We start from the raw sequence: 18,035 nt of genomic DNA, 5'->3' as shown, positions 1-18,035 counted from the left end.
TGGGAGGCTGAGGCAGAAGAATCGCTTGAACCCAGGAGGCAGAAGTTGCAGTGAGCCGAGATCGCACCACTGCACTCCAGCCTGGTGACAGAGCGAGACTCCGTCTCAAAAAAAAAGGTAGAGACCAGATGAAGACACCACAAGGGCCTAAACGATGAATGCGGAGAGGAAAAACTGATATAGAGGGTGGATATAGGGAATGAATATTTTCAGAAACATGTTATGCACACAAAGTCACATTAGCAGTTTCCTGAAATCTCACACCACATTCATACGCAGCTAATATTTTCATTGTCAAGAAATGTTGAGAATAAGCTTTATTACTTAAGAGTTTTCCAGATTGCTGAAACTTACTGTTTTAAGCACCTAGATTTCCAAAATCTATCATTATGCACATCAGTTATTTATTATGCTATGATACTCATATCCCTACCCTAAATAGCCCTGGACTGCTGTAATGTTGTATTTTTTCTGTTTCTTCACTTCTCTACCAACTACTAGTAATTGATATTATCTGTAGGTCTTGGCTACTTCTATGCTGCTACTTACTTCACAGAACTTGTTCTGAGTAAAGATTAAAATATAGATCTCTGGAGTAGAAAGCACTCAATGACTGCACCAAAAGCAATGGCAAGAAAAGACAAAATTGACAAATGGGATCTAATTAAACTAAAGAGCTTCTGCACAGCAAAAGAAACTACCATCAGAGTGAACAGGCAACCTACAAAATGGGAGAAAATTTTCGCAACCTACTCATCTGACAAAGGGCTAATATCCAGAATCTACAATGAACTCAAACAAATTTACAAGAAAAAAACAACCCCATCAAAAAGTGGGCGAAGGACATGAACAGACACTTCTCAAAAGAAGACATTTATACAGCCAAAAAACACATGAAAAAATGCTCATCATCACTGGCCATCAGAGAAATGCAAATCAAAACCACAATGAGATACCATCTCACACCAGTTAGAATGGCAATCATTAAAAAGTCAGGAAACAACAGGTGCTGGAGAGGATGTGGAGAAATAGGAACACTTTTACACTGCTGGTGGGACTGTAAACTAGTTCAACCATTGTGGAAGTCAGTGTGGTGATTCCTCAGGGATCTAGAACTAGAAATACCATTTGACCCAGCCATCCCATTACTGGGTATATACCCAAAGGACTATAAATCATGCTGCTATAAAGACACATGCACACATATGTTTATTGCGGCATTATTCACAATAGCAAAGACTTGGAACCAAGCCAAATGTCCAACAATGATAGACTGGATTAAGAAAATGTGGCACATATACACCATGGAATACTATGCAGCCATAAAAAGTAATGAGTTCATGTCCTTTGTAGGGACATGGATGAAATTGGAAATCATCATTCTCAGTAAACTATCACAAGAACAAAAAACCAAACACTGCATATTCTCACTCATAGGTGGGAATTGAACAATGAGATCACGTGGACACAGGAAGGGGAATATCACACTCTGGGGACTGTGGTGGGGTGGGGGGAGAGGGGAGGGATAGCATTGGGAGATATACATAATGCTAGATGACGAGTTAGTGGGTCCAGCGCACCACCATGGCACATGTATACATATGTAACTAACCTGCACAATGTGCACATGTACCCTAAAACTTAAAGTGTAATAAAAAAAAAAAGCACTCAATGACAACTATTTTTCTTGCAATGTATAATAAAATTCTCAAAGCTTTTTCACTAACATTTAGATTTATTTTTGATATTACATTTATTTTATAGGGGTTGGCAAACTTTTTTGTAAATAACCAGATGGTAAATATTTTGGAGTTTGTGAGTTATATGATCTCTATAACTATGCAGCTCTTCTGTTGTTTTGAAAGCAGCTATAAGACAATACGTAAACAAATGGGTGTGGCTGTGATCCAATAAAACTTTATTTTCAGAAACAGGAGTGGGCTGGATTTGTCCTACAGGGGCTATAGTTTGCCAATACTTGTTTTAGATTATTAAAATTGCCAGAGCCTAACATTTCAAATAGAGGGATTTGTCCTTAACTTGATTTATAAAGAAAATAATATATTTTTTCATGTCTATATTCCTCTAGCTTAAATATTCTTATTCAGATTTTTAAATAGTGCTGCAAGTAAATTCTCCTAACGTGTAACAACTGCAGTAGCAGCTTAGCCCCCTTGTTTAACCTTCGGTCTGAGGATTGGTCCTATCTAACCTCTGCCTTCACCTCCAGCCATTGTGCCACTGCACTTTATTCTCCTTTCTAGTTTATTACATCCATGCGCTCTAAGGCACCCTCTCCTAAGCCACTGATTTCTGTAGGAAACAAGAGCTTTGTCATCAGCCAGCAAGTCCTGGGAAAGAATTACAATTTCATGAGTATTATAGCTTTAAAGCAAAGATAAACAACAGTTATTTGTATTGAATTCAACACTAAGTTAACTTAAATGACTTTCCCCTACCTTCTGATTTCCAAATTAAATTAAACACTAAGTTTCTAACATCTATACCCACAGTAAATAGCATCTTGCATACATGCCTGTGAAAATGCTTCCTGCTTCAGTGATATTTGGAATTTTCTTGAGACAAAGAAGATATAGATATATTTCCTTAAGCCTCTTTAGCTGAACATCACACTACAAGATGAAAAGCTTGACAGTGTTGCCTCTTTTGGTGTAGATGACACTACCAAGGGCACACACTATGACCATCAGCTAACATGCTGCAGAAACCATAACCTGGGCATGCAGGCTGCTGCATGTTGAAACAAAAGGTCTTGACATCCTGACATAGAAGGTGAACAACAGTGTGAAATACACTTGGTGTCTGTCTAAAGTGACATTGTAGTTAACCAGATTTCTGCCTCCATATGGAACCTTCCTGTCAGAAGAAAAGGACTGATTCTAGTCCCTGTATTTTATTCTATCGACACGATATTCTGTTTCTTCTTCGGATGCCATTCTGAATAACCTATGACTGAGATCAATCAATCCACAGTGATTCATGCTTGTTTCCACTATGATATTATTTCTTGGGACCACCAACAGATAATCTAAAAAAGCTTGACAGTATCACAAGTATATTTGCATCAAACTCATGAACTCTACTCTCAATTTCCAAGTAGGGTACAAGACCTTGTGTGTTTATGGGAAGTTGGGGTGTGGTCAATAGGTGGGTGTGCTGTGCTGAAACTTTTTTTCTCTTGAATGTTTTTTTAATTCTGTAGCTTTCCTGAACCGACCAGAATTGACCTAGACTTCATCTCATGATATAGTCCTATGAGGGCTAAGGAATAAGACTTTAGGAGCTCCATAAGCCTTGCTTAGCCCTTAATAACTTCAGTGTGTAGAATAATCATGCAAGAGTTTCAGTTCAGGAGTCAGCAGATCTAGGCTGTCTTCCAGGTTCTGCTCTTTGGGATTCTAGAACAAGTCTTGCTCAGAGCATCTGTGAAAATTAACAGGGTAGTGAATTTTGATGATCTGCTGCATGGCAAGCCACCCCATACTGGAGAGGCTCAAAACAACAATTATTATTTGCTCATGATTTTGCAATTTGGGCAAGGCTTAGCAGGGACCTCTTATTTTTTCCATACATACTATCATTGGGGACTGAGGATCCACATCCAAGATGTTTCACTGAAATGGCTAGCATGTTAGCACAGGCAGTTGGCTGCTTGTTCAGCTGCGGTGGCTGCTGATATTTGGAATAACCTCAGTTGCCCTCCATGTGGGCCTGTCCATGTTGCGTCATGGCTTATTCACAGCATGGCGACTAGGTTCAAAGGAGGAAGAAACAGAAGTTTCCAGTCCTCCTAAAGATTAAGCCCAGAACAGACACAAAGAAATTTCTGTCATATGCTGTTGGTCCAAGAAGTCTCAGGCCTGTCCCAGATTCAAGGAAGCAGGAGGGAGAAAAAAGACCCCATCTCTCAATGAGAGGTAGGGAGAAAGGCTATGACAAAATATTTGCAGCCATCTGACATAGGATATGGAGATCATTCATGGTTTTTATTTCCTGTAATATAAATTTTACCCTACAAGATTCAGATTTAAATTCAGTATTTTATCTCTTTGCCAAAAGATGAGGTCCAGCCTCCCTCCACCCTTTTATGCTTCATCGTATTCTCATTCTTTATTAAAAAGGCAGGGATTTGAGGTTTGTTAGGTATCTACAGGATACAAGATCCATGATATATGCTCTTTCATTTACCGTATTTCATTGCATCTGAGATCCAACTTGTCTCATATTTTAACATTTCTGAATTGTACCTTTTACAATCTAGGAAGTCTTGTAATCACTGTAGGTCACATGGCAGTGATGCACGTCTGAAGTGGCCTGTGATTGTGCATATCTTCATTACTTCACTCAAATTCACCTGTTGAGTTTAATCACTGTTGAAAAACATCTTCAGAAATATTATACTATAATTTGGCATTGAAGGAAAAATGTGTCTTGTATGCCAAAAGTCAAAGAAACAGTGCCATTAGTGAGGCAAATGTTTGACATTGGAGGTATAATTACAACTTCATATATTTTTGCAAAGCAGCAAACTGAGCTTTGCACTACCTCAAATAGAAAGTTATTACAAGTAGATGAAGGTGTGTTTCGTTTTATTATGGAGATACATCCAAAATGTTTACTTATCACACATGAAGTTTATACCAGAAGGCATAGAAATTGTCAAGTTCTTTAGAGCAGATTAAAGAAATCTTTAAGCCACAAAAGGCTAATAATTATGCCTGATGCGGGACTATAAAAAGCATTATATCATAGTTTAATCAGCATCTTTTTTTTCTTTCTCAGTGGTACATTTTTTTTAAATGTACTTTGGGTCAGACATGGTGGCACACACCTGTAGTCCCAGCCACTTGGGAGGCTGAGGCAGGAAGATCACTTGAGCCCAGGAGTTTGGGACTACAGTGCACTATGATCTTGCCTACAAAGGGCCACTACACTCCATTCTGGGCCACATAGTGAGACCCCCATCTCTAAAGCTTTTTGAAAAAAATGTATCTTGGATTTAATGAAATATAGTAGTTCACACAAACACACACACACACACACACAAAATCTGCAACACACACACAAATCTTCTCCTTTTACACATGAGGAAGCTGTGGTTCAGATGGCTCATAGAACTTAAACAACTTGACCAGTCTCAAAGCTGCCAAATGGAAGAATTTGTTATCTTCCTTATCCCACACTGGTTCCTTAAAATGGTAGGGCAACACAGGTTGGTGGTTCTGGAAAGATATGAATATTGTGTAGTGACAGCCATTCCACCTCCTGTCTCCAGCAAACTTCAAAAATATGAATGAAGTGCTGTTGTAGTCCCCCGAAACCAAACACTAACCGTCTGGAGGGAAAGCTTTTCATGGGGCTGGGCCACTGCCCAGGACTCCCTCGCAATCCTGTTCAGAAGAATAGAAAATTAAGAAAAAAAAAAGCTTACTTGTAGAGTTTTATAAGGGCCTCATAATTTTATAGATTCAGAATTACTTCTCTGAAATGGGAATAATTTAAAATAAGAAATATTTTCCAACTCTTCAGAACAGAAGTAGGTTTAAGGAAGACTTGCCCAAACTGTTATTTTAAAGCAGGACATTAAACATTCCTTGGCCCTTGCAAAAGAAAGCTGTCGTTTAGGTCATTGCTACTCACTCACCCTAAGGAAATGCCAGGAGCTTCCTCCCTCTCTCTCTGTCTGGGCCAGCTCCATTGGAGGGCCACTGTGGACAGCAGCAAGGGCCTGCTTTCCTCTTCTTTATTTCCACTGCAAAGAGGAGAGGAGAGGCTTGTAGACTGCCCCTACCATAATGAGTGAGACTCCATCGCTTCTAATACAGTCCTTCATTATTTATCTTACGTTTGTTTAGTTTAGGAGACTATGCTGATGATTTGGGAGTTGTGCAAAGATGCTTAAACACAATCCCTTCCCACGTGAAGTTTCCGTAACTAGATGGGGGGATAAGGCTTGGGCAGAATTCCCAGCCATATCTGTAAACAGCAAGGAGAGCTCCTCCCCCTCCCTTCTGCTCCCCTGGAATCTTGCCCTTCTATAATAGCATGCAGGACATCGTGCAGTAGTGGTTTTTCTGTGTGCGAATCTCTCATTAGACTGGGAGCTTTCTGAAGGCAAGGGCAGGGGTTATTTGTTGTTCATTTTTATATCCCTGATGTTTAGCACAGTGCCTAGGACAGCAATCAAGAGATGATGGTTATTCCATTTGTTCATCCATTCATTCAACAAAATCATGTGGAGGTTCAGAGCAGGGAGAGATAGGCTTTGAGAGAATATGTGAGGCCTTCTTTCAGAAGTAGCCAGTGCCAGTAGCACTTGCTCTTACAGAAAGGGTAGAATTTGGGCAGAAGGATGAAGAAAGAAGTAGAGACCATGTAAACAAGGGTAGGGCCGTGTAAGACAAATTTAATCCATTTCTGTGTCTGGAATGCATTGTGGATAAGGATGGAAGGAGAAGTTGAGGTTGCCATCATGAATGGCCTGGAATATTAGGTCAAGTTGTTTTCTTGTTTTTTTCTTTTCAAATGAGACAACAATAAATAGAATCCCTCTCCAAGCTGCACTGCTCTGGAGGACAGCAGGGAAAAATGGTATAGGTAGCTTCTCATTAGTAAATGTATCTGGGATTTGTCTTCCTCCTCGCAAATGATGTACAAAGAATACTGCTTTAACAATAACAGATTCCAGGTCTTGGCTGTGATGCAGACTACACTTCCTTAGGGAGGTGGAAGTGCATATAACTAAGAGCCAGAGCAGGTTTCATCCTGGCTTCATCAGTTCTTAGTGGTGTGACCCAACCTCTTTGTGCTCTAGTTCTCCCATTTCAAAGCGGAACTGATAATCATATCAACTTCAAAGCTGTTACGAGGCTTAAAAGTAATAATGCACGTAAACCCCAGGGAACAGTACTTCTTGGCACATGAGGGTTTCACAAATGTTAGCTATTATTATCCCTTGTCTTCTGTGTACCTTGGTTTCCTCATCCAAATAGAGATAATACCATCCCAGCCCATTTCTCCTGGACCCTGACAGAATAAAATGCAATTAAATGTGTGAAAGCAATCTGGAAGTTAAGTGCTGCATAGCAGCAAGGTGGTGGTAGGACTGTTAATTACCATATCCTTGGCTAAGAGGTTTGGTAATTACCATATCCTTGGCTGAGAGGTGATCCCAGGAGGTTGGGCTGAAAGGTAGGGGGGTCTTGGCTCTCTGGGCTCTCCAGGGTATTGGCCACAGGTGTGTGTTTGTGAATAGCTTCTCTAGATACAGTATGTCAAGGTAAAGGCCTTATTTGACTGGTCCAAGATTACATAAAGATGGGAATAAGGAAATCAACTAAGCAAGAAATAAATAAGGTTTAAGCCCCACAGCTTTGCAAGCAGTGTAATTTCAAACATCGTAGTCTTGGACATCTGGGCTCTATTACCTAAAATCTCATTAAACCTTCAGCTTCATAATTCTGTGTAGAACCTGGTAAATTGCAAGATCCTGCTGATGGCCACCAGCCAGTTCAAGCAATTAATCACAAGGGTCCCCAAGCAGGTTTGAGACTCATGCCAAGTGGATTCTTTAAGGGGAAAGTGCGTACACAAAAGAAATAGCCCAGTCCACACAGTTTTATAGCAACGTGCTTTGAGGCTCTGCCCACACAGAGAAATTATCTGTTATCATTAAGACATCTCATAACTCTTTCCTCAATGGAAATTAGTACCCACCAGCCCAGGGAAGATCTCCAAACCTCGTTAACTGCAATATAGATTGTAACCTGCTGAGAGCTGAAGGCTGTAGTTCAGACAAAACCAAGCCCTACCCTTTCACCACCCTCAGCAGTTTCTCATTTTGGGGAACTCGACTTGAGCTCTTTTTTCTTTTAAACTTTTCTGGAATGTCTGGACATTCCAGAAATGTTTGCATTTCCCTCTGTGTTCCAGACCAAAGGGCAAGAACCCACAATATAATAACCTTGGAGACTGTCTTCAGAATCCTGCCCTGGTATGACCCAAGGGGAAAGAGCTCATAACAAAGGAACTATTTCTCATAAGATTTCTTGCTTGATTTTGCCAATTCAAAGAGGTTTATGTAAACAAGATAATCATCCGCACTTCAGAATGTTTATGAAGCCTTTTCTAATTACTATTTTGTATATAGAGTGATTCTGGGAACATGATGGAGAACAGAGGAGAAGCCTTGAGCCCTCCCTACATACAGCAGGAAGGAGAGTGAGAACAAGAGTACACTTACAATATGGGTGAAAGGATTTGAAGCTTCACCTTGCTGTTTAGGTTTCTTCTCTCTAAACTTTATTTTTTTATTAAATTGCTGTCTCTCTTTTCTCCACTACAGAGTGGCGCTGTCAAATATGGTAGCCACCAGGCATACATAACCATATAAAGATAAATGAATTGGAATTAAATAAAATTTAAAAGTAATTTCCTCCATGCACCAGCTACATTTCAAGTGCTCAGTAGCCACATGTGGCTAATGGCTGCCATGTTAGACCAGATCTAGAACATTTCCATCATTGCACATAGTTCAGTTCACATAGGCTTTGAGAGAATATGTGAGGCCTTCTTTCAGGAGTAGCCAGTGCCAGTAGCACTTACTCCTCCTCCTTCCTACTCAAAGTATGGTCCACACACCAGCAGCACTGGTATCACCTGACAACTTGTAGAACTATGTGATCTGCATTTTAACAAGATACCCAGGTGATGCATACACACATCTTAAAATTTGAGAAGCACTGTTTAAAGATACCTTCTACTCTAAGATTCCGTATGACAAAATGTCATCACTGTTGTAAGGATTATTCATTAATACTTTTTTATTTTTATTTTATTTTATTTTATTTTTGAGACAGAGTTTCGCTCTTGTTGCCCAGGCTGGAGTGCAATGGCACAATCTCGGCTCACCACAACCTCTGCCTCCTGAGTTCAAGTGAGTCTCCTGCCTCAGCCTCCCGAGTAGCTGGGATTACAGGCATGCACTACCACACCCAGCTAATTTTGTGTTTTTAGTAGAGACGGGGTTTCTCCATGTTGATCAGACTGGTCTCGAACTCCCGACCTCAGGTGATCCACCCGCCTCAGCCTCCCGAAGTGTCATTAATACATTTTTATCTTGCATAGCTTTGTTTCCAAAAGAGATATTTCTATCTCCTTGAGAGGTGACAAAAAAAAAAAGGAGTATTTACGTAGACCTTGTATTCTCCTTTAAAAGTGTGCTTTTCTTTTTCTCTTGGAAAAGCTGCAGGATCTGGAGATTTTTAAAAATATTTTATCTAAAGTAGTGAATCTTAGAGAACATTGTTCCAATGCAGAATCTGTTGGATCAGTCAACAGAGAAGCCCTTGAAATTAAAATAAGTTTAAAGCAAAAGGCAAAGAGGAGAAAAGATAATTTAAAAAAAGAAGAAGAAGAAGAAAGGAACTTCACTTATTCATACAGTTGACAAACACACAAGGCTCTGTGCTCTGTGACTAAGAGAGATGGGGTGTAGAAGCAATGAGAGAAATTAGAAAACAGTCCCTCGGAGTATAATCTGCCACCCAGTCTAACATTGTGGAGACGGAGGGAAATTTCAATGGTATCTTAGATTATACTTCAAGGTACATTTTTATGCTGTTTTGTGCCAGTGGACAGAGTTGTCCTCTGGAAGGTTCAATGGGCTTTTAGCTGGCTGTCAGAATGTAATGGCTTGAGATACTTGCCTCTGTCCAGTGCAAAAAAAAAATGGAATCACTGAGGTTACCAGTGACTAATTGGCTGTACAAATGCATCCCTGCTGAGAGCATCTGGCCTGATGATGCTTCTCCCAGAAATGCATCATCCTGTATTCATGTGGTACAAGATGATAGTCCACTGTTGTCACCAGGCTTCTAGCTCAAGAGAGCTGTAAAGCTGGGTGAGGCTTTGCCATCTTTCTAGGGAAACATTCCCCAGAGACTGGAGTTAATAGATATCCTAAATGATCACACAGAATATATAGAGTTTCAGATACTTGCATATACTGAAATTTCTAAACCAATTCTCATTAGAGAACAATATCCTGGCCTCCCAGGAAATTCTGCCCATACTTGAAAACTGCTGATTTCATTCATGTGGCTTTCTTCATACATACATTCATTGATTCACTCACTCATTTGACAAACATTTCAGGAGCACCTTTGATAGTCCCGACATTCTACCACACACAACAGAAAGAGAAGAATGAGACATACTTCTTGCCTGAAGGAACTTAAGGTTCACAGCAGTAGTGCTTACAGAGAGGTCCTCAGACTAGCAATATCAGTGTCCCTGCAACATTATTATGAATTCAAAGTCACAGGGCTATCCCAGATCTACTGAATCAGATTATTTCCATTTGGTGCCCAGAAAACAGCATTTTACCAAGCTCTCTGGGGCATTTCTAAGCAGAGTAAAGTTTGAGAAACACTCATCTAGAGACAGCGCATCAGTGATTCTAATAGATTGTGATACAGATTCTATGTAACAATATGTGTAATTATACAGATTGGAGACTCTTCAACCCCTGAAGCCCCCAAGGCAATGCAGGATACTTTAGTGTTTAATACAATACATGTTGTTTGATTGATGTATGAGAAACCTGTAAACAATCCTGGAATGATGGACCATGCCTGTATTCCCAGGACTTTGACTGGGTTGAATAGCTTCTCCTGTCTGCCTCACTCTAAATATTTGGATCACTGCACTGTATTATATCCAGGATTTGTGGCATTTTATTATGTGAAAAGAACAAGGCTATAAAGCAAATTTTCCTGCCGTATATACCACTTTTCTCTGTCTGAAGGACAAATAACTACTATTTAAGTACTGGGGGAAAGATGTAGGTGTGTTCATGGATTTTGCCAAGCTGCTTTTGTGTGAATTCTCAAGGCTATGATTAAACAGAGTTTTCTAGTCCTCCCCTGGACATTCTGAATCATTGGAAATGGAGACAAGCTGGACAAAAGAAAAATGTTAAGAAGCTCCCTCAGATGAGTTTGAGGCAGTCAAGTTTGAGAATCTCTCATCAAAATGTCAGGGTTCTTAAACCTCGGAATCTAGAGATTCAATTTAACCTCCAGGAATCAGAGTCAGTTTCTGAGAGGTTTTTCAGGCTCACAGTGTAGTAGACTAGTGGCCTTACTTTTAGAACAGTAAGTGAGCAAATACAATGTCCTTTTTTTTCCCCAAGGGCTGAGGAAAAGGAGAGAGACAGTTTGCACACAAGGGCATTCTTTTTCTCTCACGTTCTCAATGTGTGTGTTGGTTGGGACCTTCACTTGTCACGAGAACCCTTCAAAACTCCCCAGAGAAAGGTGACCATCCAAGCAACGAGGACTGCAAAGCCAGGCAGCAGAACTACTCCTCTGACAGTATCAGGAGCCAGTTACATTTTAATAGAAACAATAACACCAAGGGGTGAGAGGGTGGGGGTGGAGGCCAAGGCCTTCCTATCCCATCTAGGTATTCGTCTAAAAATGTTGCCATGGGGCCTTGAGACCTTGTATTTCTCGCTTAACATTTCTGGAATTAACAGGCCCCTGATATTTCATAGTCAGATCAAAGATCATAGCCTAGCCTAAAGGCCACAGCCTGTCTTCCATCACTCACCCCTCCAAGTCTGGCTTTCTGCATTTGTGGAGTAAAGGTCATGGTACCTACCTACTTTGGTTGCTGCAAAGTGAACACAGGTTCTTAGCCTGATGCTAAGCACCTAGGAAGTACTTGGTGAATGATAGTGCTAACTCTTATGGTCATTGTGTTATCTGTAGACTCTGCTCCTCAAGGTTCTTCATAAAAACAGAACTAATAAGATGCATAAATATGTATAGAGAGATGTATTATAAGGAATTGGCTTATTCAATTGTGAAGGTAGAGAAGTCCCAAGATTTGCAAACTGGAGATCCAGGAGAGCCAACGGTATGGTTCCAGTCTGAATTTGAGTCCAAAGGCAGGAGATGGCAGTCAGGCAGAAAGAGTGAATTATCCCTTACCCAGCCTATTCTCTTTAGGCCTTCGATGGATTGAATGGGGTCCACTTGTATTAGGGAGGGCTATCTGCTTTACAAAGTCTACCAATTCAGTTGTTCATCTTATCTACAAATACCTTTATAGACAAACCCAGAATAATGTTTAACCAAATATCTGGACACCCAGTGGCCCAATCAAGTTCACACATAAAATTAACCATCACAGACTTATTGTGCTTTCCAGTTTACTAACGATAATGGGAAGTTACCAGTTAGTATGTATGCATCTCTGTTTTATTACACTTAACCCAAGTTCTCTGTCATCCTGATACCAATCTCGTTGGAGATTCTTTTATTATATTTTTTTCTTTTTTTCTTTTTTTGAGACAGAGTCTCGCTCTGTCGCCTAGGCTGGAGTGCAGTGACGCAATCTCGGCTCATTGCAAGCCCCGCCTCCCAGGTTCACACCATTCTTCTGCCTCAGCCTCCTGCATAGCTGGGACCACAGGTGCCGGCCGCCACGCCTGGCTAATTTTTTGTATTTTTAGTGGAGATGGGGTTTCACCATGTTAGCCAGGATGGTGTCGATCTTCTGACCTCGTGATCTGCCCGGCTCGGCCTCCCAAAGTGCTGGGATTACAGGCATGAGCCACCATGTCCGGCCTCTTTGGAGATTCTGACCTTCATCTTCATGCGGTCAGAGGGTTGATTCCTTAATCATACTCTCAGTGGGCAACTCCCCCTCCCGATCCCGCTTCTCTTCGTCAAATTCTTGTGGGGCAGAGAGTGGCAGACATGGGACCAGCGCTGCTGAGAATACATATGATTTCTCCCATCATAGACTAGAAGCAAAGTTTAGCTTTATGGCCACATAAATCCTTTGTCCTTCTTTTATCTTTTACCTCTCCCATACATATTAATTAATTAATTAATTAAGCATACCTCTCTAAATCATCCAATCTTGATTCTTATAATGGTAATGCCTGTGAGGGTTCTAAAAGTTAGAAATGATTTAATATTAGAGGTTTTGATTGCATTGAATATAAAATCACATAAAATGAGCAAATGATGAGAAGAAGAGGGGAGTGAGGTTTGAAATTAGCCTTATTTCCTGTACATACACGAGGCACACTTATGTTGGTTTTTATCTTGGCCTATTTTGGGAGTGATATATTTGGCTCACAACCAGGAGTAGAAAATAGAAACAAACAAAAAAAAAAGGATGAGTTCATGTCCTTTGAAGGGACATGGATGAAGCTGGAAACTATTATTCTCAGCAAACTATCGCAAGGACAAAAAACCAAACACCGCATGTTCTCACTCATAGGTGGGAATTGAACAATGAGAACACTTGGACACAGGAAGGGGAACATCACACACCGGGGCCTGTCGTGGGGTGGGGGGAGGGGAGAGGGATAGCATTAGGAGATATACCTAATGTAAATGAAGAGTTAATAGGTGCAGCACACCAACATATCACATGTATACATATGTAACAAGCCTGCACATGTACCCTAGAACTTAAAGTATAATAATAATAAAAAAATAGAATTAAAAAAAGAAAAGAAAATAGAAACAAGGACCTGTATCTTCCAAACCAACCTCAGTACCACTGACATTTTGAGCCAGATAATTTTCTGTTGTGAGGGCTGTCCTATACATTCTAAAATGTTCAGCAGTTTAATGGGTTTCTACCCATTAGATGCCAGTAGTACCTGCCTCTCCCTCGACACACACACACACACACACACAAGTTGTTACCACCAGTGTCTCCAGACATTGCCATTTGTGCTGTAGGGGGCAAAATTATATCCAGTTGAGAACCAGTGCTCTAAACATAGGAAAGATCTTAGACTGTTAAAATAAAAATGTGCTGCCTTTCTCTAGGTCAAACCTCTTATTTATGGCACTCCATGTATAGGATTCATGTTTGATGAGAATTCTTTTATGCAAACACAGTTACTTGATTTCTCTCCTCCATTCTTGTTGGAGAATTTCTTTTCCCAACAAATGTTTCTTATTGAGTCAGGAAAGCACCGTGGTGAGAACAGATCTGGGTTCTAGTCCCAGCTCTATGCATTCTAGCACTGTGGCTGTGCCAGCTAACGACCCTGCTGTCATTTTCTCTGTGTGAATTACAGGAATAATGAATCCAAACCTCAAAAATGGCAGTACAGATTCAATGAGTAACTGCCTATAAAACCTTTGTAGGCATATTGTAATCGTTCCATAAATGTGAGCTCTGCTTATTGGCTATTCTGCTGGGGCAACCATGGATCTCACTTTTTTGGAATGTGCATTTCACACCAGATATAAATTGTCCCACATTGAAGTTGCAGTTCAGATACACCCCCAAAGGCCTTGAACTCATTACACGAAAGACACTTTCAGGTAGAAGATATGGACCCTTCTTTCTGAAGGGAAGACACTGAACAGCCCTTTTAAAGGATGAAGTCTTATTTCCCCCTTGAGCCCATGAGACGTGGGGCTGCCTGGATATAATATCTTTTCTTCTTCTCCACACACAACAATCCTTCAGCCCTGTGTGCTGGAGTTAGGAAAGGTGGGGCGGGACATAATCCATCCCAGATCTGTTATTGAACCTTTTGCCAAGCTGGCCACTGCCTCCTGGGCCAGTCACTTCCTGCCTTTGAAGTGTTTCAGACTCCCTTTCTCATGGAACTGTCTGTTAAGGGCTGCGCTAATCTGGGAGAGAGCAGGAGCCAGAGTGTGCCCAAAGTGGCCTTGGCAAGCAGGAAGACAGTTATCTGCCTCCTGGGAGTTGCAAAGGCTTGACCTCTGGGTATTTTGTTTCTTTTCCTGGCCCCCAGCTATAGCATTAGAACATTGACATTTAGCATTAAAACACTGATACTTAGCGTTAGAGCTTTGACTTTGATTTCTCCAAGGAATTTTAGGAATTCATGATAATAATAATAAAACAATAGTAGCTATCACTTAGTTATTTACTAAACACCACGCAAAATGCTTTTCCTATGAGTCCTTTTTAACAACACAGCAGCCTGGTGAGGCAGGAATTATGACTGCTATTTTAAAGGTGAAGAAAATGAGCTTGGGAAAAATTCATGTGTTCAACATCACATAGCTAGGAAGTAGTGAGCCTAGGATGTGAACCCATATCTGCCAGAGCCCATGCTCCTGACCACTAGACTCCAGTGCTTCCCTCCTCATCCCAGACTCTGAAGCCATAGGGCTAAATATGATGATTGATTCCAAGAATTCTTGATTCCAATAATTCCAAGAATGTCTAAACTATTAATAGTAATGATGGCCCATCAAACAGAGGTTTGAAAAAGAGCCTTTTACTATTTGTTAGCTGCAAAATCCATACATGGACAGCCCCCAGGATGTACATCTTCCTTGAGTAAGTAGTTGATAAAGCAGAGAAAGAAACCAGAGCAATCCCACTCTCCACATGCAGACCAGGATTGAATCTCATGCAACATTAGTTACTGAATTAAACAGAGAAACAAAGATTCTCCTCCAACATCATTCCTTTCTTTATTAACTTTACAACTATTTAATAAGCACTTTCTGTATACCTGACACTGCACATTGCATTAGGAGAATACACAACAATAAGACATGGCATCACCCACAAAAAAATTAGGAGGAACGATGGATACATTAAATTGAAGTGTTCATTGTGGGTTTTTTGGTAAAAATTTGAGATGCCACACTCGCACACAGGAGAGAGTTGTTAGCTGTGTCTAGAAGGAAAGAATACTTCATAAAGGAAGTGACGCTCTAGGTGGTTGTGAAAGAGGGCGGGGTTGGTGTTCACTAATGCTAGAGGGTATATAAAGAAGACACCCTGGGAAAAAGAAAGGATCAGCAAGACCTGGAACAACCCCACACATATGCAGAGCCAGAAGGAGGCTGGGATGGCTGAAGCACAGGGGATGGAGCCCAAAGAGCGTTGTATATCAAAGACCACATATTTCCCCCTTTTCAGAGCCAGGGCTGTCTAATGCAAACTGCCATTTTGCATTTTGACCTCATGTAGATTTATATACCCGAAGACATGATTCCTGTTGCAGATAAGTCTCTAGCAAAGTGATGATGGCAGAACCCATCACTATACAGATGTGATTGATAGAAAGATTAAGGTTCAAGGGTCCAGGTGTGTGTAGCTGGGTGTAGTGGTGCACGCCACGCCTGTGGTCCCAGCAAGGCTGAGAAGTGAGGGGATCACTTGAGCCTGGGAGGTCGAGGCTACAATGAGCCGTGATGGTGCCACTGCACCCCAGCCTGATCGATGAGAGCTAGACCCTGTCTCCAAAAAATAATAATAGGAAGAAGAAAGACTAAGGTTCAAGGCCTACTTTCACCACGTGTCTTACACATACAGCCTGAGTAAATGGGGACCTCTTGTCCTCCCATAAAGCCCATCTCAGCATGGTGACCCATTCAAAAGGAACACAATACTAACTGCAAAAACAGCAAAGAGCAGTGAAGCATCACTGACTACCATGGAAAGATTTCAAAGATGACACTCCTCTGCCATAGCACACTCTTTTCTTTGGCCATCACTTTTCCCAATGCCCCACTCATTATGGCCACCACTGTCCCAAACCTCCTATGTCACCCTCTAAACCTTCAACTTGTCTCTCTGTGGCTTCTAGTTCTATTTATATTCATGTCTTGCAGGAGTATCTTGTTGCTCTAATATAAATTCATTTTAGCCTCTGATTTTTTTTTTTTTTTTTTTTGGTACTCTAATAGGGCCCTTCATCGTGCTGATTGGGCTTGTGGATAAACACGGAAGCCTACTCAGAAGATGGGATGGGAAAGGCTCAGAATATTTCTATGTTCCTCCCTATCACTCCTGTATGTCACTAGAGGGGGACACACCTAAGTCTGGTGTATTTGTTTGTTGTCGTTCTGCTGTTAAAGACATACCAGACTGGGTAAATTATAAAGGAAAAGAGGTTTAATTGACTCACAGTTCCACGTGGCTGGGGAGGCCTCACAATCATAGCAGAAGGTGAAAGTCACATCTTACATGGGAGCAGGCAAGAGAGAATGGGAGCCAAGGAAAAGGGGAAACTTGTTATAAAACCATCAGATCTCATGAGACTTATTCATTACTACGAGAACAATATGGGGGAAACTGCCCCCATGGTTCAATTATCTCCCACCGGGTTCTCCCCACAATGCGTGGGAATTATGGGAGCTGCAGTTCAAGATAAGATTTGGGTGGGGACACAGCCAAACCATATCATTTGGATATAGCTTTGATCCTTACTAGCTGTGTGATCTTGGGTTAATAATACTTCTGGGCTTCAATTTCCTAATCTATAAAATGGGAATAATTCTACATGTCCTGAGAAGAGGATTGGGCAATGATAAGGGAAAGTGCTCTAAAGTATACTGCACTCCACTTACATCCATGGTTATAAGTGCTTTTTTAATATCCTAAGATTAGACATATCTGCTTTCTCTCAGCTACTAGAGACCATTGTAGGAAACATGGTTATTTAAAGAAGCAGTAACTATGATAAACCTAGTTATCAACTCATGACTCAGGTTCCAAAGTATAATAATTAATTAGGGCTTACTCTTTATTATCATTATTCTTTTTTAAAATTGTATTTTATAGGTTATTCATTATTTTCCAAGGTCACACATTTTCTGGATCTGATTTTAGCCAGGTCTCAAGGATGGTACACTGTGTCAAGTTCCTAGAAATCAATGTTGTTCTTTCAGGCTGTACTGCCCTCCTAGCAGGTCAACCTGGATAGGATCTTACGCACATTGGTGTTTATACCCCTTTCAAAATACTGAAGTGTTTCTCTTAATGAAATTACAAAGTATTTATTTTCAAGGTAGTATTAGTGAGTGAAAACAATCATGATGCTTTAGTTAGTCATGGGGCAATCCTGCAACCCTGTGAGCCTAATTTTTGTTGTTGTTTTGCAAAATACTATGATGACAGTAATAAAAATTCTAGGGCCTTCATTTTCACATACAGTTCTTTTCTATGCATATATATAAGCTTTATATTGTAGTATATCATAA

The 18,035-nt window shown here is 40.7% G+C and overlaps 1 protein-coding gene across 6 annotated transcripts in view; it reads left to right on the top strand.

Annotated features, from left to right (window-relative positions):
• The window catches only part of SAMD12 (sterile alpha motif domain containing 12), a 490,139-nt gene that overhangs the window by 404,834 nt on the left and 67,270 nt on the right, over positions 1–18,035 (top strand). For 2 of the 6 annotated variants that reach the window (XR_007060733.1, XR_007060732.1), the window contains one exon: positions 521–1,931. The exons of the other annotated variants lie outside the window; for them this stretch is intronic. The gene's annotated coding sequence lies outside the window, so the exon portion shown is untranslated. Of the gene's footprint in view, positions 1–520; positions 1,932–18,035 lie in introns of those variants that run through there. 6 annotated transcript variants of the gene reach the window in all.

Source organism: Homo sapiens, chromosome 8, assembly GCF_000001405.40.
Source record: "Homo sapiens chromosome 8, GRCh38.p14 Primary Assembly".
Lineage (NCBI taxonomy): Eukaryota > Metazoa > Chordata > Mammalia > Primates > Hominidae > Homo > Homo sapiens.
This window is presented reverse-complemented; position numbering and strand designations above follow the sequence as displayed.